This window comes from Homo sapiens, chromosome 7 (assembly GCF_000001405.40).
Source record: "Homo sapiens chromosome 7, GRCh38.p14 Primary Assembly".
Lineage (NCBI taxonomy): Eukaryota > Metazoa > Chordata > Mammalia > Primates > Hominidae > Homo > Homo sapiens.
This window is the reverse complement of record NC_000007.14, coordinates 17,800,077-17,825,383: the sequence shown is the minus strand read 5'-3', so window position 1 is coordinate 17,825,383 and position 25,307 is coordinate 17,800,077. Positions and strand designations below refer to the sequence as shown.

Below are 25,307 nucleotides of genomic sequence, written 5' to 3'. Positions count from 1 at the left end.
AAGTATAAACATACTGAGGTATATACCTTAATTCAGTTTCATGCTTACATTTTAGACACTGAAGAGATTTTATAGTCTAGTCTAGTCTAGTCTAGTCTAGTCTAGTCTAGTCTAGTCTAGTCTAGTTTAATCTAGTTTAGAAGACATTAACTTGTATCTTTTTAAAATAGATCTTCATTTCCTTTTTCTTGTCACTGGAACTGAAGTCTCAATTTACATTTGTTGCCTGCCAGATTTCTGGAAGAAAACAAGTATTTATTAGCTTCTTAAAATGTATGGAAGCACTGTGCTAGGCATTGTTAAGAAATTATTTCAGGCTGGGCTTGGTGGCTCACGCCTGTAATCCCAGAACTTTTGGGAGGCTGAGGCAGGCGGATCACGAGGTCAAGATATTGAGACCATACTGGCCAACATGGTGAAACCCCATCTCTACTAAAAATACAAAAATTAGCTGGGCGTGGTGGTGCACACCTGTAGTCCCAGCTACTAGGGAGGCTGAGGCAGGAGAATCGCTTGAACCCGGGAGGTGGAGGTTTCAATGAGCCGAGATCACACCACTGCACTTTAGCCTGGCGACAGAGCGAGACTCCGTCTCAAAAAAAAAAAAAAGTTATTTCTTCCTGACAAACATATGTAAATACTGAAGAAGCAGCATACTATAGTGGTTAAGAGTATAACTTTTTTACTGAATTGCTTGGGCTCAAACCCCAGCTCTGCCAGTTAATAGTTGGGTAAGCCATCCAAAATTAAGATTTAGTTAAAAAAAAAAAATAGCTGGGTGAACCTGAGTGAGTTCCTTAACTTCCTTGTACCTCAATTTCCTTACCTGTGAGATGGGCTAGTAATAATAATAATAATAATACATAACTCATAGGGTTGTTATGGAACTAATTCATTACATTGGTAATTATGCATGGTAAACATATTTGATTTTTGGTTCATTAAATACTTATTTTACCAACTGGACTTCAGAGTCTCTTTGATTCTAGATCTTTTAGCATCTTTATTTCAGAAAGTAGGAGCTTATAGACTAGTCCAGTGCTACTGAAAGAATGGCCCAAGGAAGCAGTACACACACAAGAATGGTGGTCTAGTATGTGTATTGCTTCCTTCATTGAGAAATCTTGCTTTAAAAAGTATTGGCTAAATTAAACAATATGATTAGTAATGGAGTTGATTTACATTCTAGTGCTATTTTTTTTTTACATAATAAGAATTACTAGCAAATAGTTTGCAGATCGCCTGCTATGAGTAACATTGGCCTAATAAAAACAAACCCTTCTAGCTAAATCACCATCTTCACAAAACCAATATATGTAACCCCAATATCTTCCTTTAAGTCAGATTACCTTGATGTCTTCTGCATTTTTTTTAAATAATTACCTCATTATTCTTCCTATTGTGCATCCACCCTGGGTGATCTTCCAAGCCTGTTGGTTTTTGACAAATCCTGATTATTCTTTCTTATATCTCTTCTCCTTTTTTGTTCCTTGCTATTCTCCTTACTGTTGTTAATTTTTAATTAGTTATGGTTAGCTGCCTAATTGGCCTCTGCTTTCTATTTTCCTTTCCCAAACCTATCTTGGACACACCTGATAAAACCATTCCCTTGTTGCCATGCTAACTCCATTGAGAAATGGTGGTTCTCTAACGTGATTAAAACGTGTTGTGCTGTTTAATTTGCATAAGTCTCTGAGAGAAAGATAACTGGACAAGGTGAACAGTGAATAATAGTGCTACTTACAGAGCAAGATGTCCAAAGTCTATTTCTAGTCATATACTTTGTTAAATCAGAAACAGTGATAATAGATGGAAAGGGAATGAAAGATAATTTTGGAAAGAAAGTACAAATCTTAGAAAAAATTTTAAGAAAGTTTGGGAAGAGCTTCTGTCCAACTACTCTTGCCAATATAGAGTCCTAACTTTTATGTTATTAATTTACCAAAAAGCTGTAGTGACCTTCTTCTGCCCAGTTATATACGAAATAGCAAAATGTTAGCCCCAGAACTTGACCACGTTTATTCACACTTATGAATAAACGTAATCCATTATTACAAGATCAGTTTTAGACTTCTGGTTAGTGTGGTAGTCTGAACTGCTATGAGATATCATGCCTTCCACGCATAGAAAGGCTAAAAACAATATTATAAGTATAGCTGAAGGGGAAAATCTACAGATGCCGTAGACCATGGGGAAAAATAAATTCAGAGAATTGAAGGGGTGTTAAAGCAAGGGGCTCATAGTAGCATAAAGACTGGATCTTGATTTTGATAGCATTTTCCTGCCCTCAAATTTAGAAGAGGCAGGATGGGCCAAGGCCATGGGATGCTGGAACAAAGTGCTTTACATAAAGCCTAGAGTCACAAAGGGCAGCTCAGTGTCAAAGAGGAACTAGGAAAACAGCCTACCATCAGTAGAAAAACAAGAAATGTCAAGATCATGACTGGAAATGGTATCTGTCACCCACAAAAAATTGAAAGCCCAGCTTGCATCCTATCCTGAGTATGTCTGGATTTAGCTGTCCTCAAGTGATTATGTACTGCAAGATCTCAAGCCAGAGAGTTAGTATTAAAATTATTTCTGAACCACTGAAACCAGCAGTTAGAGTGGTGACACTTGACACTGTTCAATGTGAACGCTTCCCTAGCCCAGGGCACTCAGAACACCCAGGGAGAAATAAAACCAGCTGGAAATGAGCTTACAGAAAGCAATTAATAGCAACAGAAAGAAATACGAACCACAATAAGAGAAAGCCAACAGAACCAGCAGATAATTTGCATCCTGTGAACTTGGAGATGGCAGTCTTAATAGACTTGGCCGTAAGTATGTTAAAAATATTCCTAGAGAGAAATACTAAGACAAGAATAAACAGTATGAAAAAGAACCAAATAAAACTCTAGAGATCAAAAAAATACAGTGATTGAAAGTAAGGTCAGAGAATGGATTAAGAAATAGACCAGATACAGATGAGAAGAGACTCACTATTAACTTTTGGAGACGTTAATTGTAGAGTGCAGAAAGATAAAGAAATGTAACATCAGAAAGACAAGTTAGAGAAAATGATTTAAAGTGCATCTCCTTAGTTAAGATTAGTACAAAATAGGAACAGGCTTTGATTTTAGAGATTACCTGACTTGCTTGGTATGTGGCAAAGTAATGCGAAAATGCTTTGAAAAAAAAAAATCCCCAGAATAAACCGCACTTGTGAACTACTGAACGTATCAAAGAAAAAGAAAATTGCCAGAAGATAAATGTTATCCCGTGGCTGTTGCTGTTTAGTTGAAAAGATTTTAATTGTAATACAACTGAAGAGTGAAGGCTAGTACAAAACATCATTTTGTTTATTTTTTCTATATTAAATTTAAGAAATTCTAATTTTACTCTCTAAGGTAACATTAGATGTAGCAATGTAATGATGTAGTGATGTAGTAACAGAAAGCTCTTTGGAAGAGAGAATTGTAATAGGTACCGCTTTGTGATTGATAGTGTCATACTGAACTTAGTTTATTTTGTAATTTAGCCATTATATGTAATACCTTATGGATGTGAATATGGAGGATGGGAATCTATCCTTTGCTGACATCCTTCTGTCTCAGTCTGTCATTTCAGATTCTTCTTCATTTCATATTATCTTTTTTGTTTTCTTCATCTTCCTCCTTTTTTGTGTCTTTCGTTCCTCTTCATTTTGTTTTAAATGATTAGTATATGCTGACTATGACCCATATGCTGTGGCAGGCGTTTGTAATGATCATGGCAAGACATATGCATTATATGCCATCACTGTACACCGGCGCAACCTAAACAGTGAGGAGATGTGGAAAACCTATCGTCGTTATAGTGACTTCCATGACTTCCACATGAGAATCACTGAACAGGTAATGAAGTTTTAAAAACTTGTGTACTTTATGTTGTTTCTTGATTTGATTTTGATTATAAATCTGAGGATGCCCAGATAGAGTGATTAATTAAAAAAATAAGGTAAGAATTTTTGGTATAATCACCATAAATCTTAGAATTAATCTGAGCATTTAACCAGTAAATCAAATGTTGAACACTTCCTCAGTCCTAACCATCATGGACTAGTGACAGACTATCAAGAGTATACCTTGGAAAATTAAAGTGAATACATGTTTCTGATTTTAAAATTTGCGTGTGTGTATTGTGCTTTTCAAAGTTTTTTGGGCTTAGATTGAAGTAGGAATGGGGATTGCTGTAGGACATTTTGTGCTTTTGTTTTTGAAGGCATAATTTAAACCTAGAAGTTATTTTAAATGGCAGTTTAATCCAGCAGTGTAACAGTGAAATGAATCCTTGATCCATTACTCAAATTATTTTGAATCACAACATAAAATAAATTTAATATTAACCAAGTAATATTTTCAATTCTTATTAAATACAACCCTCTTGTTTTATAGAAATAATTTAAAAGTACTCTTAAAGATAACAAATCTAAAGAAATTATTTCCCTGTCCTATTTTTAAATTAAATATTTTCTCAACTTAAAAAAAAGATCTTTGATGAATTGGAATAAATGATCTATGAAATTTATTTTAACTTATTTTAACTCTTAAAAAGTCTGACTCATTCAGGGATTTTAGGTATACAACTGGTATTAAACCAATAATAGTTAAAAGTGACATCTGATTGGGTGAGCTAAAGCTTTGAAATGACGTTGTACTACTTTAGAAATCAGAAATTATCTTTTTCAACTTAATATAGTGGAAAATATATAGTTGGCACCATGATAATCTTATTAAAATATCTTGTGGATAGAGTGAGATAAACTATTAATAGCTTTAAAGTGATGAAAAAGAAGTTAATGTTGACTTCTGAAGCCTATATTAAAAGGACTATTTTGTGTTATATTAATAAGAAAATTAAATTAATAACTTTGGACATGCGCATTCTTCTGGTGTCAAATATAACCTTTCTTCATGTTTAGCTTGATTTGTTTGCAGAGATGAAATAATTTTCTGCCCCACATTGAAGAAATAATTGCTTTACTTTTTAAAATATTACCTGTTTGATATTTTAAAAGCATATAGCTCATATATCTTTTTATTCCCATCCTTACACTTTAACCAAACATGATAATTTAAAAAATAATTTGAGTTGGTAAGAGTTCTATTTATTTGCAAATGAATTTACTTGCAAATTAATGAGAGTTTAGTTTAATATGAAATTTTTTATTGTGTAAATAGTTGTAATTTTCTTTCTAGTTAAGAGGAATAATCATTCCCTGATTTAAATGTTCTAGACTAGAACTGTAGGCATTATTTTACATATTGACAAATGTAAATGAAGAACATACTTTTGAAGAAAACTTTAAGAGGACAGTTCATACAGAAATTTCCCTTTTCAGTTCAGTGCCAAAAATTACATGAAATTGATACAGCACAATTTCTTTTTCAAACAGCTCACGTGAGTGAAATGGACATGTTTTGACTTGGTGTTTCCTTTTGTGTGTTTGTGTGTGTGTGTGTGTGTGTGTTTCTTATAAAGTTTATAAACTTTATAAAACTTATAAAGTTGTGATTACCTAAGTGTTTAGATTGTTCACAGAACTTAAGAAATTAAAAACTCCTTTTAAATGAAAATCAGGTTTTAGTAAAATATTAAGTATCTGTAAATAAGATTTAGGGTCTTTGCCTTTTAGCTCAGCCTTATCTATATTTTAAAAACTCAAATCCCTTATAAAATAATGGAAGAAAAATGTAATGATTTGTAATTCAGCAGTTGGTCACAGTATAGCCTGTTAACATGAATAAATGGTAACTGCATAGAGCTCTTAAAGTAAAATTATTTTACAACAAGTTTCATTTGTTTATATAATTTTGTGATACAACATTTTTTCCAATGCCAAGCGCGGTGCCTCACGCCTGTAATTCCAGCACTTTGGGAGGCTGAGGTGGGCAGATTGCTTGAGGTCAGGAGTTTGAGACCAGCCTGGGCAACATGGCGAATCCTCATCTCTACAAAAATACAAAAAATTAGCTGGGCTGTAGTCCCAGCTACTCAGGAGGCTGAGGTGGGAGGATCACTTGAGCCTGGGAGGTGGAAATTGCAGTGAGCTGAGATCTCAGCACTCCAGCCTGGGTGACAGAGTGAGACCCTGTTCCATAAATGAATGGATAAATGAATGAATGAAAATCCAAGCTAAATGTATGAGCTATCATTTATTTTCCTTAAAGATTTTAATAATCTTATTTGATATTTTATGGAGACTTATAAGAAAATAATTAAAATGTTAAATGTCATGATTTTGGAAATGGCCTGAGCTGCTCATTCATTGATTTAACAAATATTTCTTAAGCTTTTCCTATGTGTCTGGTACTTTTCTTGATGCTAGCAACATATGAGAGAACAAGACAGACTAAGTCCTTGCCTCTAAGAGCTTGTAGTGTAATAGCTACTGTGCATTTCTGTTTTATTTGGTGAAATCTGTATAGGTATAGATAAACTCATGATTTAAATGATCATATTAAGTATTCATTAAGGTAACTGAGTAAAAATATGCACCATATTAAACAAATTTTGAATTATTTTAATACAGAATTTCACATCTGTTCTTTAAATTTTCCAGGAGTGTATTAGGAATCTAAACTTGTGTTTTTAATGTAGAAAAGTAAGATCTTTGATTGTAGAATGTCCATGATTTATGTGTAGTATTTGAATTATTTTTAAACATTGAAATCCTCTGATATAATTTATTTTAGTTCTTTTTTGCTGAATTTTGAATTTCTTTTAAATGCCTTTAAAAATATTTTCATGAATTTTTGGCAGAGGGGATTATATTACTTTTCAGGGAATGGGCAATTGTTTTGTTCGTAGTTTAAAATAATCTTTTAAATAGCAAGTTTATGATGAGTTAATATAGAGTATAAATTTTCACATTTTCTCCCTTGCTTTTATAGTTTGAGAAAACTGTTAGTGATTTATGTTTCTGTTCCAGACAGACAACTTACAAAGGAGTTTATTTTGGTAATTCAGGCTTTAAGAAAATAACTGTTACTGTGGTTTTTATTTCTTTTTATTAGTAAGGTTTAATATTTTAAAGTTTCTGAAATAAATTGTTGTTTTAATGGATAGTGTCATATTTCCTTGGTATATTAGTTTGGTAGGGCTGCCCTAATAAAATGCCACCAACCGGGTGGCCCAAACAACAGAAATGTATTTTCTTACAGTTCCAGAGACTAGAAATCAAAGATCAAGGTATTGACAAGTTTGGTTTGTCGTGAGGCCTCGCTTCTTGGCTTGTAGATGGTAGGGTTCTTGCCATGTCCCTACATGGCCATTTCTCTATGTGATGCATTCCTGTTGTCTCTTAGTGGGTCCAAATTTTCTTTTCTGATAGGATACCAGTCAGGTTGGGTTGGGGCCCACCCTAAGGGGCTCATTTAAACTTAATAATCTCTTTAGGGGCTTTATCTCTCAATTCAGTCACCGTCTGCGGCACTGAATGTTAGGGCTTCAACATGAATTTGAGGAAATACAGTACAAGCACACAAGACTTGGTAATACCAGGAAAAATATGTGTTTTCTAAAATTGAGTCAGTAGTTTAATGTGGATAGGTCATATTGCAGGAAATATCTCTTAGGACACCTTGAAAAAGTAAATTTACTTCGAAAATTTTTTTTTTCACATGTGATGTTCAGTGAGGACCCATTTCTAATACTTTTGTAAATCACCAAATTTGAGAATATAGCTATAGTTAATGTTTTCTCTATAAATTACCTCTACCCTTTATTGGTTTTCCTCCCAATACTGGAGTAAAAAACTGCTTTTACCTTTCATGTGTAACATATAATGAACTTGTTCACATTTTAGCTCCAAGCAGCCATCAGATTTGTCCTTCTTTTAATGTATCAGAATCTTCCAGTTTGGGGATGGAAATTATCCTAATCCTTTTCATTTCTCTTCTCTTTAATCTCTGCACCAAGAATTAGTTTTCTTTACAGAGACGTTTTCAACAAATAATTGTTTTAAAAAGTTTGTTTCGCTTTAGGATATGTATCACAAGGGAAAAGTGGTAAGGCTGTTTGAATTTCAGCACTAGGCTGTTGGTCAGGTACAGTCACTAGTTAAATGACTTTGCTCTTAAACTATTTTAGCAGCTCGTATGGTTAAAAAAAGTGTTTTAGCAAGGCATTACAGATTACGATGATGGACCTTTGAAGGTGCATCCAAATGTTAAGTCCATAAGTGCTAGACTTATGGTATACACATTTACTTTGTGCTTGTGATTTTACAAAGATAAAGTATATGCTGACTGTTCTTAATTTTTTTTGGTTAGTGTAATCTATGAGTTTATGTTTAATGTGGTTGATGGGGCAAAGGTATCAATATTTATTATAATTGTGTATACACGGGGTTATATAACTACTATCTGTATTTTGAAAATTGCCTTTTTATTTGCTAGTACTTCACAGGTCAAAGGCTTATTAAGGAAAATATTTTTTAAAACCTTTTATTATGAAATTTTTGAACAATGTCAATATTAGGGAGAATATTAAATGAAACCCCACATAGTCAAAATCCATCTTCATCATTTATGCAAATCTGTCATTCTTGATTTAAAATACTTTTATTAATAAATAATATTAGAACTGTGTTTTGAGTATATTTGGACAATGTTTTTTATTTTCTGATTTTCATGTAATATATTGCAAAATTATCTGTTGAAGATGGGTTTTTGTTGTTGTTGTTGTTGTTGTTTTTTGAGACGGAGTTTTGCTCTTGTTGCCCAGGCTGGAGTGCAATGGCACACTCTCGGCTCATCACAACCTCTACCTTCTGGGTTCAAGCTATTCTCTCCTCCCTCATCCTCCCAAGTAGCTGGGATTACAGGCATGTGCCACCATGCCCAGCTAATTTTGTATTTTTAGTAGAGACAGGGTCTCTCTATGTTGGTCAGGCTGATCTCAAACTCCCGACCTCAGGTGATCCGCCTGCCTCAGCCTCCCAAAGTGCTGGGATTACAGGCGTGAGCCACCGCACCTGGCCTGAAGATGTTTTTAATATGTAGAGAAATAATCACTTGGGAAAACCTTTTGTCTTTATAAAAAGTGCTATTGAATGTATTTTGTCTTACAGTTTGAAAGTCTCTCAAGCATATTGAAACTTCCTGGAAAAAAGACTTTTAATAATATGGATAGAGATTTTTTAGAAAAGAGAAAAAAGGATCTAAATGCATATTTGCAGGTAAGCTCATGTTTACTATAATCCACAGATTTTCATTTAATATAGCACACAGGTGTAGAATGTTTTTCATTTAATATAGCACACAGAATGTTTTTACTGTAATCACAGGGTAGCAACCACTTTTGTGCAGCATGTCAAATGTGACGTGCAGTCTGCTTAGTAATTTGTAAACATTATTTCTGTATGTATTGATTAACTTAGAAGTTTTCTAGACACTCCATGTTAGGGATTTTGCTTGTTTGTGTTTAGATAAATGCACTTGCCTGTCTTCTCCTGGCTCAAACATTTGAATTTTTTTTTTAAAGTGCTAAATGTCTGTGTCATGTATTTACAAGATTTTGAAGAAAAACCACCTTTTCCCAAATCTTTTATCCTAAATGTATCTTTTAGATGTCGATGTATTATATACTTCTTAGCTAATGAACTCAGTATGTCAAAACTTGTTCCATTGAAGGAACCAAGCTAGAATGTTGTTATATTAGCAGTTGTGAAAGCAGTGTTTTGTTTGGGGCTTCCATATAACACTTGAATGTTTTTGTTTGGATTATTTTATGTACTTTATTTCGTACCATTTTTATTTAATGTTTTGTTTGTTTTGAGACAGGATCTTGTTCTGTCACCCAGGCTGGAGTGCAGTGATGCAATCATAGCTCACTGTAACTTTGAACTCCTGGGCTCGAGGGATCATCCTGCCTCAGCCTGCTGAGTAGCTAGGACTACAGGTGCATGCCACTGTGCCTGGCTAATGTTTTAAATTTTTTTGTAGAGATGGGGTTTTGCTTTGTTGCCCGGGCTGGTCTTGTATTCCTGGCTGGGGCAATTTTCCCGCCTCAATCTCCAAAAGTGCTGGGGTTACAGGCATGAGCCACCTTGCCCAGCTTATTTAATGTTAACCCTAGAATTGTTATGCAAATAACGTGACAGTTTTCTAACGTGGATCTTCTTAGTATAAGCTGTAAGATCTGAAAATAAAATAGTAAATATGTTCAGACAACTTTCACATTAGATACACTTAAAGTCAAAATAGCTGATATAAAGAATATATATACCAAACTGTTAATCGTCATAAAATTATTGGTGACTTTATCCTAACTGTATAATTGGGTTTTTAAAAATATAAATCAATATTTTTTACTATACATTCTTAAAATTTATGAGCTAAAATTATAAACAATGGTAATTTCTAGCATTCTGTCAGTTTAAGATAATCTCTTCTTTTTTTTTTTTTTCTTGTTAGTTACTGTTAGCTCCTGAAATGATGAAGGCATCCCCCGCTTTAGCTCACTATGTGTATGATTTCCTTGAGAACAAAGCCTACAGTAAAGGAAAAGGGGATTTTGCTCGCAAGGTAAGTAAGCAGACCACTGCACTGGGTTTCTTTCTAGGTCTGTTTTCTTACTTTGTTTGTAATAAAAGAAAATAAATTTAGATTTGTACGTGTGTTTTAAAACTAGAAAATTTTATTAAGTTCTCGGCATGTTTATCACTATTGGTAGGAATATCTACATATAAACTCCTGTCTTGACATGTTGATTATAATTCAGCAGACGCTTGAAAGGAAGAAATAAAAAATTTGAAATGGTACATTAAGAAAAGTTTGCCTGAGACAAGTCACAAGCTTTTCGTTATCTTTAGAGGGAAATGTTTCATTCTGAGAGAAAATGTCATTTACTTGGAATAATGATAAAAATATTAAGCAGGATATGTTCTGAAAGTATGCCTTTTGAATAAAATCATTATTATATAAAATATTTTAAATAATTTAAAATAGGGTTTAAGACCCATACTTGGAATAAAATCGTAAGGTAAGACAGTAAATAAGTGCTTAAATTAGGTAGGATAGCTTAGTGGGTAAGAACACAAGCTTTGAAATCAGGCAGTCTTTTGTTTCAGATCCCTGCTCTACTATTTACTAGCTGTGACCTTGAGCATGTTACTGAACCTTTGGTACTTCAGTTTACTCAAGAAATGAAGATTTAAATTTCATTAGAGCATTATGTGAATCATGCAATATTCTGTATATTACAGTGCCTGGAAAATAATAAACCTCTGAATAAATGTTTGCTCTTAGTAATAATAGCAATAGGAGCAGGAGGAGCAGTGGGGGAAGCTGGTATTATTTATACCACTCTTTGTATTTTATCACTTTTTATAAGTCTGAAATTATTTCAAAATGAAAATGTAAAAAGAACAAGGAGTTTCTCACTATTCTTTGTCCCCCTAAAAAGACCATCTTTTTAAAAAGATTAAGGAATTCATACAAAATAAGTAAGAATTAACAATTATAGGAAGTTTGGGCCAAGCACAGTGGCTCATGCCTGTAATCCCAGCGCTTTGGGAAGCTGAGGTGGGTGGATTGCTTGGGCCTAAGAGTTCAAGACTAACCCTGGTAACAGCGAGACCCTGTCTCTACAAAAAATAAAAAATACTAGCTGGGCATGGTGGTGCACACCTATAGTCCCAGATACTCAAGAGGCTGAGGTGGGAGGATTGCTTGAACCTGGGAGGCCAAGGCTTCAGTGAACCATGGTCATGCCACTGCACTCCAGCCTGTGTGAGAGAGCAAGACCCTGTCTCAAAAAAAAAAAAAAAAAGGAGTTCATATGATTACTTCAGGATTTTTGATTGTATAGTTTGGTGCAAAAGTAATTGCAGTTTTTGGACATTTAAAACAAATGGCAAAAACCACAATTACCTTTTCACCAACCTAATAACATTTCTAAGTTAGTGTTTTCTTTTAATAATAAGTTCTAGGGTGTGGACCTTACAATGGAGGGGAAAAATATATGTTGCTTTTCTGCGTATTTCATGATTGAAGTGATTGAGTTAAATTCCAACTTGGAACAGTTTTATTGTCACTAGAGATGCATTTTAGTGTTCCATGTTTTTTATGTTTATATATCTTTTCTCCTTTAAAGATTATATCCATTTTAAGATAAAGTAATAAATTGATATCAGCTTTTGGAGATAAAAGAAATATTAAAGTACACTTTTTTTTAACCAAACAACAATAGCACACGTGTATGTCCCAACAGTTATACAACACTTTTTTTTCATTTTTTATTTTTTATACTTTAAGTACTTGGATACATGTGCAGAATGTGCAGGTTTGTTACATAGGTATACATGTGCCATGGTGCTTTGCTGCACCCATTAACCTGTGATCTACATTAGGTGTTTCTCCTAATGCTATCCCTCCCCTAGCCCTCAACCCCCTGACAGGCCCGGTGTATGATGTTTCCCTCCCTGTGTCCATGTGTGAGAACGTGTGGTGTTTGGTTTTCTGTTCTTATGTTAGTTTCCTGAGAATGATGGTTTCCAGCTTTATCCATGTCCCTGTAAAGGACATGAACTCATCCTTTTATATGGTTGCATAATATGCCATGGTGTATATGTGCCACATTTCCTTTATCCAGTCTATCATCAATGGGCATTTGAGTTGGTTCCAAGTCTTTCCTATTTTGAACAGTGCTGCAATAAACATACGTGTGCATGTGTCTTTACAGTAGAATGATTTATCATCCTTTGGGTATATACCCAGTAATGAGATTACTGGGTCAAATGGTATTTCTGGTTCTAGATCCGTGAGGAATTGCCACACTGTCTTCCACAGTGGTTGAAGTAATTTATACTCCCACCAACAGTGTAAAAGCATTCCTGTATCTCCACATCCTCTCCAGCATCTGTTGTTTCCTGACTTTTTAATGATTGCCATTCTAACTGGTGTGAGATGGTATCTCCTTGTGGTTTGATATGCATTTCTCTAATGACCAGTGATGTTGAGCTTTTTTTCATGTTTGTTGGCTGCATAAATGTCTTCTTTTGAGAAGTGTCTGTTCGTATCGTTCGCCCACTTTCTGATGGGGTTGTTTTTTTTCTTGTAAGTTTGTTTCAGTTCTTTGTAGATTCTGGATATGAGCCCTTTGTCAGATGGATAGATTGCAAAAATTTTCTCCCAATCTGTAGGTTCCTACAGTTTATGCTGATGGTAGTTTCTTTTGCTGTACAGAAGCCCTTTAGTTTATTTAGATCCCATTTGTCAATTTTGGCTTTTGTTGCCATTGCTTTTGGTGTTTTAGTCATGAAGTCTTTGCCCATCCCTATGTCCTGGATTGTATTGCCTAGGTTTTCTTCTAGGGTTTTTATGTTTTTTAGGTCTTATGTTTAAGTCTTTAATCCATGTTGAGTTAATTTTTGTATAAGGTGTAAGGAAGGGGTCCAGTTTCAGTTTTCTGCCTATGGCTAGCCAGTTTTTCCAACACCATTTATTAAATAGAAAATCCTTTCCCTATTGCTTGTTTTTGTCAGGGTTTTCAAAGATCAGATGGTTGTAGATGTATGGCGTCATTTCTGAGGCCTCCGTTCTGTTCCATTGGTCTATATATCTGTTTTGGTACCAGTACCATGCTGTTTTGACTACTGTAGCTTTGTAGTATAGTTTGAAGTCAGGTAGCATGATGCCTCCAGCTTTGATCTTTTTGCTTAGGATTCTCTTGTCTATATGGGCTCTTTTTACTTCCATATGAAATTTAAAGTAGTTTTTTCTAATTCTGTGAAGAAAGTCAATGGTAGCTTGATGGGGATATCGTTGAATCTGTAAATTACTTTGGGCAGTATGGCCATTTTCACGACATTGATTCTTCCTATCCATGAGCATGGAATGTTTTTCCATTTATTTGTGTCCTCTCTTACTTCCTTGAGCAGTAGTTTGTAGTTCTCCTTAAAGATGTCCTTCGCATCCCTTGTAAGTTGTATTCCTAGGTATTTTATTCTCTTTGTAGCAATTGTGAATGGGAGTTCACTCATGATTTGGCTGTTTGTCTATTATTGGTGTATAGGAATGCTTGTGATTTTTGCACATTGATTTTGTATCCTGGGACTTTGCTGAAGTTGCTTATCTGCTTAAGGAGATTTTGGGCTGAGATTATGGGTTTTCTAAATATACAATCATGTCATCTGCAAACAGAGATAATTTGACTTTCTCTCTTCCTATTTGAATATCTTTTCTTTCTTTCTCTTGCCCGATTGTCCAGGCCAGACATCCTTCCAATACTGTGTTGAACAGGAGTGGTGAGAGAGGGTATCCTTGTGCCGGTTTTTAAAGGGAATGCTTCCAGCTTTTGCCCATTCAGTATGATATTGGCTGTGTTTTTGTCATAAATAGCTCTTATTATTTTGAGATACGTTCCATTGATACCTAGTTTATTGAGAGTTTTTAGCATGAAGGGGTGTTGAATTTTGTTGAAGGCCTTTTCTGCATCTATTGAGATAATCATGTGGTTTTTGTCATTGGTTCTGTTTATGTGATGGATGACATTTATTGATTTGTGTATGTTGAACCAGCCTTGCATCCCAGGGATGAAGCCAACTTGATTGTGGTGGATAGGCTTTTTGATGTGCTGCTGGATTCAGTTTCACATTATTTTATTGAGGATTTTCACATTGATGTTCATCAGGCGTATTGGCCTGAAATTTTCTCTTTTTTTGTTGTGTCTCTGACAGGTTTTGGTATCAGGTTGATGCTGGCCTCATAAAATGAGTTAGGAAGGACTCCCTCTTTTTCTGTTGTTTGGAATAGTTTCAGAAGGAACGGTACCAGCTCCTCTGTCCCTCTGGTAGAATTTGTACCTCTAGTAGAATTGTACCTCTGGTAGAATTTGGCTGTGAAGCCATCTGGTCCTGGGCTTTTTTTTTCTTTGGTAGGCTATTAATTACTGCCTCAATTTCAGAACTTGTTGGTCTCTTCAGGGATTCGACTTCTTCTTGGTTTAGTCTTGGGAGGGTGGATGTGTCTAGGAATTTTTCTGTTTCTTCTAGATTTCCTAGTTTATTTGTGTAGAGTTGTTTATAGTGTTCTCTGATGGTAGTTTGTATTTCTGTGGGATCAGTGGTGATATCCCCTTTATCATTTTTTATTGTGTCTATTTGATTCTTCTCTTTTCTTCTTTATTAGTCTGGCTAGTCCTGTATCTATCTTGTTGATCTTTTCAAAAAAACCAGCTCCTGGACTCACTGATTTTTTGAAGCGTTTTTCGTGTCTCTATCTCCTTCAGTTCTGCTCTGATCTTAGTTATTTCTTGTCTTCTGCTAGCTTTTGAATTTGTTTGCTCTTGCTTCTCTAGTTTTTTTAATTGCGATGTTAGGGTGTCGATTTTAGATCTTTCCTGCTTTCTCATGGGGGCATTTACTGCTATAAATTTTCCTCTAAACGCTGTTTAGCTGTGTCCCAGAGATTCTGGTATGTTGCATCTTTGTTCTCATTAGTTTCAAGGAACGTATTTATTTCTACCTTTATTTCGTTATTTACCCAGTGGTCATTCCAGAGCAGGTTGTTCAGTTTCCATGTAGTTGTGCTGTTTTGAGTGAGTTTCTTAATCCTGAGTTCTAATTTGATTGCACTGTGGTCTGAGAGACTGTTTGTTATGATTTCCATTCTTTTGCATTTGCTGAGGAGTGTTTTACTTCCAATTATGTGGTCAATTTTAGAATAAGTGCGATGTGGTGCTGAGAAGAATGTATGTTCTGTTGACTTGGGGTGGAGAGTTCTGTAGATATCTGTTAGGTCCGCTTGGTCCACAGCTGAGTTCAAGTCCTGAATATCCTTGTTAATTTTCTGTCTCATTGATCTGTCTAATATTGACAGTAGGGTGTTAAAGTCTTCCACTATTATTGTGTGGGACTCTAAGTCTCTTTGTAGGTCTCTTGCTGTATGAAACTGGGTGCTCCTGTATTGGGTGCATATATTTAGGATAGTTAGCTCTTGTTGCATTGATCCCTTTACCATTATGTAATGCCCTTCTTTTTCCCTTTGTTGGTTTAAAGTCTTTGTTGGTTTAAAGTCTGTTTTATCAGAGACTAAGATTGCAATACCTGCTTTTTTTTTTTTTTTTTTTTTTTTTGCTTTCCATCTACTTGGTAAATATTCCTCCATCCCTTTATTTTGAGCCTATGTGTGTCTTTGCATGTGAGATGGGTCTCCTGAATACAGCACTCCGGTGGGTCTTGACAATTTATCTGAATGCCAGTCTGTCTCTTTTCATGGCGGCATTTAGCCCATTTACATTTAAGGTTAATATTGTTATGTGTGAATTTGATCCTGTCATTATGATGTTAGCTGGTTATTTTGCTCGTTAGTTAATGCAGTTTCTTCCTAGCATCGATGGTCTTTACAATTTGGCATGTTTTTGCAGTGGCTGATACTGGTTGTTCCTTTCCATGTTTAGTGCTTCCTTCAGGAGCTCTTGTAAGGCAGGCCTGGTGGTGACAAAATCTCTCTGCATTTGCTTGTCTGTAAAGGATTTTATTTCTCCTTCACTTATGAAGCTTAGTTGGGCTGGATATGAAATTCTGGGTTGAGAATTCTTTTTTTTTAAGAATGTTGAATATTGGCCCTCACTCTCTTCTGGCTTGTAGGGATTCTGCCAAGAGATCTGCTGTTAGTCTGACGGGCTTCCCTTTGTGGGTAACCTGACCTTTCTCTCTGGCTGCCCTTAACATTTTTTCCTTCATTTCAACCTTGGTGAATCTGACAATTATGTATCTTGGAGTTGCTCTCCTTGAGGAGTATCTTTGTGGTGTTCTCTGTATTTCCTGAATTTGAATGTTGGCCTGCCTTGCTAGGTTGGGGAAGTTCTCCTGGATAATATCCTGAAGAGTGTTTTCCAACTTGGTTCCATTCTCCCCGTCACTTTCAGGTACAGCAATCAAACTTAGGTTTGGTCTTTTCTCATAGTCTCATATTTCTTGGAGGCTTTGTTCGTTTCTTTTCATTCTTTTTTCTCTAATCTTGTCTTCACACTTTATTTCATTAAGTTGATCTTCAATCTCTGATATCCTTTCTTCCACTTAATTGATTCAGCTATTGAGAGTTGTGTATGCTTCACAAAGTTCTCATGCTGTGTTTTTCAGCTCCATCAGGTCATTTATGATCTTCTCTACATTGGTTATTGTAGTTAGCAATTCAGCTGTTTTTCAAGGTTCTTAGTTTCCTCGCATTGGGTTAGAACATGCTCCTTTAGGTCAGAGGAGTTTGTTATTACCCACCTTCTGAAGCTTACTTCTGTCAGTTTGTCAATCTCATTCTCCATCCAGTTTTGTTCCTTTGCTAGCAAGGAGTTGTGATCCTTTGGAGGAGAAGATGCGTTCTGGTTTTTGGAATTTTCAGCCTTTTTGCACTGGTTTTTCCTCTTCTTCGTGAATTTATCTACCTTTGGTCTTTGATGTTGCTGACCTTCAGATGGGTTTCTGTGTGGATGTCCTTTTTGTTGATGTTGATGCTGTTCCTTTCTGTTTGTTAGTTTTCCTTCTAACAATCAGGCCCCTCTGTGGCAGGTTTGCTGGAGGCCCACTCCAGACCCTGTTTGCCCGAGTATCACCAGCAGAGGCTGCAGAGCAGCCAAGATTGCTGCCTGTTCCTTCCTCTGGATGCTTCATCCCAGAGGGGCACTCTCCAGATGCCAGCTGGAGCTCTCCTGTATGAGGTGTCTGTCGACCCCTGATGGGAGGTGTCTCCCAGTCAGGAGGCATGGGGCTCAGGGACCCACATGAGGAGGCAGTCTGTCCTTTAGCAGAGCTCGATCGCTGTGCTGGGAGATCTGCCTCTCTCTTCAGAGCCAGCAGGCAGGAACGTTTAAGCATGCTGCAACTGCGCCCACAACCGCACCTTTCACCAGGTGCTCTGTCCCAGGGAGATTGGAGTTTTATCTATAAGCCCCTGTCTGGGGTTGCTGCCTTTCTTTCCTGCCCAGAGGAGGAATCTAGTGAGGCAGTGTGGCTACAGTGGCTTTGCTGAGTTGTGGTGGGCTCCGCCCAGTTCGACCTTCCTTGAGGCTTTGTTTACACTATAAGGAGAAAACCACCTCCTCAAGCCTTAGTGGGGGCCCCTCCCCCCACCTAGCTGGGCGCCCCTCCCCCCACCAAGCTCGAGTGTCCCAGGTGGACTTCATACTGCTGTGCTGGCAGCAAGAATTTCAAGCTAGTGGATCTTATAGCTTGCTGGGCTCCGTGGGGGTGGGATCTGCTGAGCTAGACCACTTGGCTTCCTGGCTTCAGCCCTCTTTCCAGGGGAGTGAACGGTTCTGTGTCGGTGGCATTCCAGGCACCTCTGGGGTATGAAAAAAACTCCTGCAGCTAGCTTGGTGTCTGTCCAAACGGCCGCCCAGTTTTGTGCTTGAAACCCAGGCCCGTGGTGGCGGAGGCACCGGAGGAAATCTGCTGGTCTGTGGGTTGCAAAGACTGTGGGAAAAGCGTAGTATCTGGACCAAAAATCACCATTCCTCAAGGCACAGTCCTTCATGGCTTCCCTTGGCTAGGGAAGGAGTTCCCTGACCCCTTCCACTTCCCGCGTGACGCGACGCCCCACCCTGCTTCAGCTCGCCCTCTGTGGACTGCACCCACTTTCTAACTAGTCCCAGTGAGATGAGCTGGGTACCTCAGTTGGAAATGGAAAAATCACCCACCTTCTGCGTTGATCTCGCTGGGAGCTGCAGACCGGAACTGTTCCTATTTGGCTGTCTTGCCAGCCACTCACTTTTTTTTTTTAATTAATAATGGCGTCTACCTATCTTTCTGATTCATTTCTGGCAATCCACAATAACACACATTTTTCATAAACCATATTGGTGATAACCAAGGTCATGTTGACCTCTTTAGAATGTCAGAATAATTTTTATGCATATTAAGAATTTGGGGTTTCCAACTTTATTTCCTTTTTGGCTAAATGATAGTTTAATATTTTTTTCCTTAATTATATTTCACTGGAAATTAAATAGCTATTAAAGTAGATCATCTGCAAACATTTTATCAATGGCTATTCAGAACTTGAGAAATAATACTTTATAACACATTAATTTGGTCACACAATGTATCCTAGCTTTGGAAAATCTGTGAAACAATTTTTAGAAAAAGTAACAGACAGGTAGCCTTTCTCCTTTGTACACAGTATCTTTCTATCCAGTTTTGTTATCATGGTGAAGGCATTTTAAGCTATAATTAGAGATCTAAATTTAAGTTAAAATACCATTGTGTATGTTGTTAACAATACAAATAACTCAGCTGGGGTGGTAATTGAATGAATATACAGCATCTGTGTAAGGACAGCTAAGTGTACACTTAGCTGGCAATCCGTAATCTCCTGTGCATGATCATCTGAAAGTTTTTCTTTTTTTCTAAAAATCTACTTTAAAACAAATCTTGTTTTTGGAAATGTTTTCATACAATGATGGACTTTGCTTTTATGCTTATGAAATTCTGCCTCTTTCATGGTTAACCAACAGTCACCTTTAGAGGTTTTTCATTCTTCTTACCCCACTTCCCTCCTAATACAAATGCTTGGGCTTTACCTTTTGGTGGGGAAAACAAACAAAAAAAAGGCTTCAGTACTTCTGGGATGCTACACAGACAACTATTTTTAATTAGGAAATTCATTATATAGATTTACTTTCTCTTAGAGTATCAATGGTAGTATAGCCTCATGCCTAGATAAGCATGTGAGATAGTATTCATTTAACCAGTTCATAATAGGTAAACTCAAGTTTCTGCTGTGAAGTGTAAGATGTATAAATTTCTAAAATATTTTTGAGGATATCACACTATTTAAACTCAGGTTGGAGATTAAATTGAAATTCATGCCTTTTATGCTTCTGAAATGCTATTTCTTCTGTGAACATTTTAGCTTATTAGCAAGGTGGCAATTTTTTCCCAAGCTGCACATTTTAAATGTTGCATTGTCATGCTTAATGCTTATTTCTCTTTAGAATTCTACGCTATATTCTCATGACTTAGCTTATTTATATGTTATTACCATTTAAAAGAAAGGCCACAGTGTTGCAAATAATGTCCCGATTGATTTGAACATACTATTCTGGTTGACCAAAAACTACAGTATATAGAATTAGAATTACACATGTGCATGCATGCGCGCGCGCGCACGCACACACACACACACACACACACACACACACACACACACAAAGAATCATTAGCCAAACGTGAGACTTAACTTCATCTTTTTATCTTTATGTTTCTCTCCACCAGTGGTCATGTTTTTCAAATCCTTATTCAAGCCAGTTTCTGTTCTTTGGTTTTATTCTGGGTTGTACTGTGACAGTCTCTTCTAGGGTTGGATGTTCCGTCAAGCATATCTATGGTACTATTGGCTGAGCTTAAGCCAGGGAGTAACCAACCAAAACTCTCAGCCCTTGTACAGTTATCTTGAAATTCACTTTTTATTAATATGCATTTTACCTCTTCTAGTTTTTCTTGATGGAAGCTATGAAAATAAAATTAGAGTGAAGGAGTTTTGTCTTCTTACCATCTATTAACGTTGCTATGATTCCTAAGCAGTGAGATTCAGTTTTGTTACTGTTATTCATTTTTTTGTTTTTGCATGAAACATAATTTGTTTTCACTGGTAGCTTTTATGATACTTAACAATTTTTTTTTTTTGGAAAACATTTCTGTAGTTTTGTATGACTTTGGTTTTGTGTCTTTTCTTTGATTTCTTTATTTCTGTTAAAGAATCGCTCAGTCTCATCTGCATCTCTAGTTTGGTTTCTTTAGATGTCTCTTTCTTTATTAATGTAAATTATTTTAATTTTATACCATTTTTGCTTTCTGTCACTCTGAAGATTTTTAATTCCTTTTTATATCTCTGGTCATATTTCCTTTTACAGTCTTCGTATTCCACCTTGCTAAGATAAGATTTACATGTCTGATTTGCAACGTCTCTTTTCCTTCTTTGTAATGAACTTCAAATTTCTTCTGTAGATTTTAATTGCACATATAATGTATTCTAAAATTATTTTAAAAAATAAATCAAATACTTATTAGTTATTTCAGTTTTCTGTTTATTTTACCTGTTTTCTGTTCAGTATCTACTCAAAATACCTAACTGTTGCCTTGAACTGTGCCAGAAGTATATAGTGGCTAATTCTAGTTGCATCAATTTCTGTTTTGGAAAACATTTTTTTTTGTTTTACAATTTTGAATGGAAAACTTTTTTTATTCAAAATTTCTTTAATAAGAAGGCAGCCAAAGCTTATATTGATTTTCTAAGAATAACCTCATCTGGCAGATTTTCAAATCATATATATGTATGTGAAAATACTTTTGTTTTTTGTGACAAGGGTCTCACTTTTGCCCAGGCTGGAATGTATGGAGTGCAGTGACATGATCACGGCTCACTGCAGCCTTGAACTCCTGAGATCAAATCATCCTCTTGCCTCACCTTCCCCAGTAGCTAGGACCACAGGTGTGTACCAACATTACCAATATACCTGGCTTTTTTTTTTTTTTTTTTTTTAGAGATGGGGTCTCACTGTGTTGCCCAGGCTGGTCTCAAACTCCTGGATTCAAGTGATCCTCCTGCTACAGCCTGCCGAAGTGCTGCAATTATAGGCATGAGCTACTGTGCCCAGCTGAAAATACGTTTTTAAGACACACTGAAGACAACATTTCTGTACTTTTAAAATGTAACGACATAATATAGACCAGAAAATTACTGCATCTTTCCAGTGTTGCACTCTATATTTTCCAAGGCTTGTCATTTGGATAACAACTCTGGTACAATAAAGTCATGGTATAATATCTTTTTTCCCTTTAGATGGACACTTTTGTAAATCCACTTCGCAATTCAATGAGGAATGTTTCAAATGCAGTTAAATCCCTTCCTGATAGCTTGGCAGAGGGAATGACTAAAATGTCAGACAACATGGGCAAAATGTCAGAAAGATTAGGTCAAGACATAAAGCAATCATTTTTTAAGGTAAGAAGACATTTTCAGTAATGTCTAAAGCAAACTATTTTTAAGTCAATAAGATGTATTGAATTCTGGTTGGATTTACCTTAGTCCCTTAACCTTATTTCTTTTCCAAACATTGCTAGACACATAGTCTCATAAAGAATAAAGAACTAAAGAGAAAAATTCTTACCAGAAATGAGTATAGTAAAATCCACTTGCTTGTTAGTCTCTGCTGTGGTAGGGTTTTAAAATTCATTTAAAACAAAAACTGAAAATTAGTAAAGTTAACATTCTTTATCTTGTTTTATTTCATTATGCCATTTTTATCATGAAGTACTATTAAATTTAGTAGCAAACAAATTCTGTCGTGCAGATGAGTTATACTAGTATTCACTCAGGAAGCATAAAGTCTTATTTCTCCTGATTTACATGATAGAATGATTACCAGATCAAAGAGAAGAAAAGTTCATCATTACCATCAATCTCTGGGCTCATACGTTACTGGGTATAGACCTCTGCGTGTCATAGAAGAATTTCACAGGGAGATTTTTTTTTTAATTACATTAACACATAAAGGTACTAGACTGTGTAGTTTGTTGAATTCCTAATTAACATTTTAAAAATCATTTTGACGTAGTTATTTGAAGTTGTAATCAAGGCTATAAAACATATAGGTATTAGAATTTTGTACTTGATAGATTATGCTTGAATGTAGGGGAAATGTATATAAACAGGTTTTCTTTAATGTAAGGGCCACTCCTAAAATTGTGTAAATCATACTTTTCTGTTAATTCTCATACTTTCTCTGATGCCTCATTTTTATTTCTATTTGTGAGGAAGTATACTAACACTGAAATCAGTATTGTTCAGTCGCACTTCTGCTGTTCATTACTCATATGAATTTGTACAAAAGTCACTGAAGTTTTCTAGGCCTCTTTGTCATCACCAATAACTTGAGATGGTCTTGACAATCCTTGTGCTGACAAATGATTTTCAGCTAATACTGATCTTTCTGTCCTTCTTTCCATCTAACATTTTGTTAATTTCTTAAACATATTAACATACTATATCAAAAGCTCTTTATGGTAAAAAGAAAGAAGATTGGAACTCTGTTCCCTGGCAGTACTACTAACTACAGATGTGCATCACTTAACAACAGGGATATGTTCTGAGAAATGTGTCACCGGGCGATTTCATCATCTGGGAGCATCATAGAGTGAACTTACACAAACCTAGATGGTATGTGTAAGTTCCACAAACCTACTTCTCACCTAGGCTATATAGTATTGCCTATTGCTCCTAGGCTACTAACCTTTACAGTATGCTACTGTACTGAATACTGTAGGCATTTTAACACAATGGTACACAAATGTGTATCTAAATATATCGACACAGAAAAAATGCAGTAAAAATGTAGTATTACAATCTTATGGGACCACTGTGGTATTGTTGAACAAAACGTCATTATGCGATGCATGACTTTTTGGCTTTCAAGTCATTTGACCTTTCTTAGCTTTGAATTCTTCTAAAAAATATGGGAGTTTGACTGACTAATTTTTATTTCTAACTCAAAAGTCATTTATTTTGTAAAGGAGAAAACCCTTTTAGTAATGAAATAATTACCCTTTATATTTGGTTCCAAATTTTAGATTGTTAAATTTGGCTTATATATTGTACCAAAAGTCAGATCAAATGCTGATACTCATTTAGGTTTATGATTGTGTTGTGTTCTTTCACTGTCTGCTTTAGTGTGTTTACTTTGTGGATTTGGTTTTATTTTTAGGTGCCTCCTTTAATTCCTAAGACTGATTCAGACCCTGAACATCGCCGAGTTTCGGCTCAACTTGACGATAATGTGAGTTAATTTTATTCTTGGTAGTATTTAGTTTAAGTCATACTTGGCATATCTTTTTAACTTTTTAATGAAGTGTTCTATGTATCATTAATGTGCACATATTATAAGTGTTAAGCTTGATGAATTCTTACAAACTGAACATGCCCATGTAATTAACACTCTAATCAAAAAATAAGATTATCACTACTCCAGAAAAGCCCTTCATCCTCTGTTCCTGTTAGGACCTTCGCCTCCACCAAGGACCATCACTATCCTAACTTCTACTCTGCTTTTATACTTTGTATATATGAAACTGTAAGGTACGTATTCCATGAAGTCTGACTTTTTTTTGCTCAACATTGTGATGTTCTTCCATGTGGTTTTGTATGATTTTAGTTCCTTCATTCTTGTGGCTTTATAGTATTCCATTTTGTAAATATAGTACAATCTATTTGTTATATCATGAATAATACTTCTATGAACATTCGTACATGTCTGTACATGTTTCTATTGGATCTATACTTAGGAATGAAATTGCTGTATCAGGATATATATATATATATATATATATATATATATATATATATATATATATATATGTTCAGTTTTAGTAGATACTGCCAAGTACTTTTTCAAATTATTTGTACCACTTACATTGCCATCAACAGTACATGAGAGTTCCAGTGTTCTACATCCTGCCAGTACTCAGTATTTTGTTTTTTTAATTTTAGCCATTCTGGTTGTTATATTTCATGCGAATTTGCGTTTCTGTGATAACTGTTGAAATGTTACACACCTTTTTATATGTTTATTGGCCATTTGAATGTTCTGTCTTATGCGTCTGTCAAGACCTTTTGTCATTTTTCTGTTGGCTTAGCTGTCTTAGTTCTTAGCTATCTTAGTTCTTTTGATTAGTAGGAGTGCTTTATGTAATCTGAATGTGAGTTGTTTGTCAGATATATGTAATACATTGTCTTCTCTCTAGGTTTCTTTCTTGTGCTATATATGTTATCTGTGCCTATTGCAGGGTCACAGAGATGTCCTATAATTTTCTTTAAAAACATTTTTTGTTTTACTGTAACAACATTTAAGTTTGCAGTTCATCTGGGATTGATTTTTGTATATGGATTGAAGTATGGGTCCAGTTGATCCAAGCACCATTTACTGAAAAGGCCATCTTTTCCCCACTGTACTGTTTCTCCCTTATCACAAATCAGGTTACCATATATGTTTGGATCTGTTTTATTCTGTTCTATTAGGCAGATTTATTTTAAGTTGTAATTATCTCCTTTCTGTTTCTAATCGAATTTGTTTATAATCAACTGTCTTAATCAAAAATAATATTTTCATTTGGTTTTTCAAGATTATTTTAGGATGTTTATTATGTTTATTGATGGTATAATATCCATAACATTGTACCTTTGGTATGTGGTTTTTACAGTTTAGCTATTTATTAGATTTTCATATGGCACCAAACTCGTAGGAATATACTTGATCAGAGAATACAGAAGTTTTTATTCTGTCTCAGTAAT

The 25,307-nt window shown here is 35.5% G+C and overlaps 1 protein-coding gene across 13 annotated transcripts in view, besides 1 other annotated feature; it reads left to right on the top strand.

Moving 5' to 3' along the window:
• SNX13 (sorting nexin 13) overlaps positions 1-25,307 on the top strand; it is a 149,734-nt gene that overhangs the window by 115,111 nt on the left and 9,316 nt on the right. For 6 of the 13 annotated variants that reach the window (NR_146932.2, NM_001350863.2, NM_015132.5 and 3 more), the window contains 5 exons: positions 3,736-3,875; positions 9,095-9,202; positions 10,440-10,550; positions 21,804-21,965; positions 23,725-23,796. Coding sequence is in view for 11 of the 13 variants with exons in the window: in NM_001350863.2 (NP_001337792.1) it covers positions 3,736-3,875; positions 9,095-9,202; positions 10,440-10,550; positions 21,804-21,965; positions 23,725-23,796 (593 nt within the window). In the remaining 2 variants the exon portion in view is untranslated. Of the gene's footprint in view, positions 1-3,702; positions 3,876-9,094; positions 9,203-10,439; positions 10,551-21,505; positions 21,966-23,724; positions 23,797-25,307 lie in introns of all 13 variants that reach the window. The other 7 variants (NM_001350862.2, XM_047420073.1, XM_047420074.1 and 4 more) reach the window with 4 other exon arrangements.
• Positions 415-601: a silencer, noted in NCBI's record as "fragment chr7:17864406-17864592 (GRCh37/hg19 assembly coordinates)". NCBI's record gives its function as "represses an EF-1alpha promoter that drives an FKBP-Casp9 reporter gene in an ReSE screen in K562 erythroleukemia cells {active_cell/tissue: K562}" and the evidence as "EXISTENCE:reporter gene assay evidence [ECO:0000049][PMID:32094911]".